General features: G+C 42.5%; 1 annotated feature.

The window, feature by feature from the left end:
• Positions 1659 to 1828: an enhancer, noted in NCBI's record as "experimental_40781 CRE fragment used in MPRA reporter constructs". NCBI's record gives its function as "activates a minimal promoter by MPRAs in K562 erythroleukemia cells, with activity observed for both the introgressed and non-introgressed 15:68255400 variant alleles {active_cell/tissue: K562}" and the evidence as "EXISTENCE:reporter gene assay evidence [ECO:0000049][PMID:34662402]".

Below are 2261 nucleotides of genomic sequence, written 5' to 3'. Positions count from 1 at the left end.
GTGGTGGCATGCACCTGTAATCCCAGCTACTAGGGAAGCTGAGGCATGAGCATTGCTTGAACTGGGGAGGTGGAGGTTGTGGTGAGCCAAGATCATGCCACTATACTGCAGCCTCCTGGGTAACAGAGTGAGACTCTGTCTCGAAAATAAAAAACATTATACTAAGTAAAAGAACAAGTCATAAAAGGCCACATTTTATATGATTCTGTTTATGTGAAATGTCCAGAAGAGGCAATTTTACAGACACAGAAAGTAAATTAGTGGTTTCCAGGAACTGAGGAGAAAAGGTAATGGGGAATCACTGCCTAGCGGGTATGGGATTTTCCGTAGGGGAGATGAAAATGTGGTGAATATTGTACAATACTGTGACTGCACTGTCATTCATGGTAAATTTTACATTATATGTATTTTACCACTCTAAAAAACGTGTCATCAATTATTTCCCAAAAGACTGCTAATTCCTTAAAATTTTCTCTCACCTCCCCCAAAATAAACTTGTTTTAACAGCAAGACTATTTTTTTTCAAGTATAAGCTTATGCAGAAACTCTATCTCTGAAACAGATAAAAGTGGAAGTCTTGGAGTAGAGAGATCCCTGTGTCCCTTTTACCCTGTATGAAAGTCCCTAAGTAGTTGGAAATTTCTGGAGTGTCTTCCAGCCCTGAACTTCTGGGTTTGAAGGCTTAGTAAGTGGGTGTTGAACGAATGCTCTGCTGGACTGATCTAATGAAATGATCACCTGGATTGGTGACCACACTGGAGCTCCAGCTCTAGTCCAAGTCCTCTGTGGAATTCTGGCCACAGCTTGCTGAGCTCAGCACTGGACACTATCCTTGGAAAAGATGGCAAAGTGAGCCAGTCGTGGAAGGTCCGAGAAGGCCTGCTGTAGTGGGGAGGTACATGTGATGCAGAAGAGCTGGGGGCTCTGGAGCCAGTCTGCCTGGCTTTGATACCTGGATCCATATTTAGTAACTATTTTCTGGATGTTAAATTCCCGAACTGTCCATACATCAGGGATTAATAATACTACATATGGCATGGTGGTATTGTGAGGATTAAATACGTTAATTCGTGTAAAGTGCTTAGAACAATGCTTGGCACATAGAAAGCTCTCAGTAGCTAATCTTGGCTGGGCAGGGTGGCTCAAGCCTGTAATCCCAGAACTTTGGGAGGCTGAGGTGGGTGGATCGCTTGAGCCTTAGAGTTCCAGACCAGCCTGGGCAAATGATGAGACCCCCGTCTCTACAAAAATTACAAAAATTATTCAGGTGTGTTGGTGCATGTCTGCAGTCCTACCTATTCGGGAAGCTGAAATGGGAGGATCGCTTCAGTCCAGGGGTTGAGGCTGCAGTTAAGCTGTGATTGTGCCACTGTACTCCAGCCTAGGTGACAGAACCAGACTTTGTCTCAAAAAAAATAAAAAGAAAAAAAAGAAAGAGAGAGAAAGAAGAAAGAAAGAAAGAAAGAAAGAAAAGGAAGAAAGAAAGAAAAGGAAGAAAGAAAGAAAGAAGAAAGAAAGAGAAAGAAAGAAAGAAAAGAAAGAAAGAAAGAAAGAAGAAAGAAAGAAAAAGAAAGAAAGAAAGAAAGAAAGAAAGAAAGAAAGAAAGAAAGAAAAGAAAGAAAGAAAGAAAATAAATCATATTTTTATTCTAAAACTACAGTGGCCCCATTCATCATATGACTCAATACACTCAACTCTCTGGTGAGGGAGTATCTCTCACCAATGAGGGTCCATGGATGACCTTGGACCACGACTTGCCCGTCAACCTGGTTTCTCCTGTGTGGCACACATGGCTGTGGCTAATGAAGGAATATTCTCAAAATCTCTGCATAATTCAGAGATTAGGCTTGAATGTGTATTTCAATCCGCTCATCTTAACCCATAGGTATTGAAATTAACTGAATGAATTGCAAGTTGTTACTTTTGTTTGGTTCGTTTTGTTTGTTTGTTTGTTTGTTTGTTTGAGACAAAGTCTCACTCTGTTGCCCAGGCTGGAGTGCACTGATGTGATCAGGGCTCACTAAAACCTTAACCTCCTGGGCTCAAGCAATCCTTCCACCTCAGCTTCTTGAGTAGCTGGGAGCTGGGACTACAAGCACGCACCGCCATACCTGGCTAATTTTTGTATTTTTTTGTAGAAACAGGGTTTCACCATGTTGCCCAGGCTGATCTCAAACTCCCGGGCTCAAGCGATCCACCTACCTTGGCCTCTCAAAGTGCTGGGATTACAGGCGTGAGCCACCTCACCCGGCCTACAAACA

Source organism: Homo sapiens, chromosome 15, assembly GCF_000001405.40.
Source record: "Homo sapiens chromosome 15, GRCh38.p14 Primary Assembly".
Lineage (NCBI taxonomy): Eukaryota > Metazoa > Chordata > Mammalia > Primates > Hominidae > Homo > Homo sapiens.
This window is presented reverse-complemented; position numbering and strand designations above follow the sequence as displayed.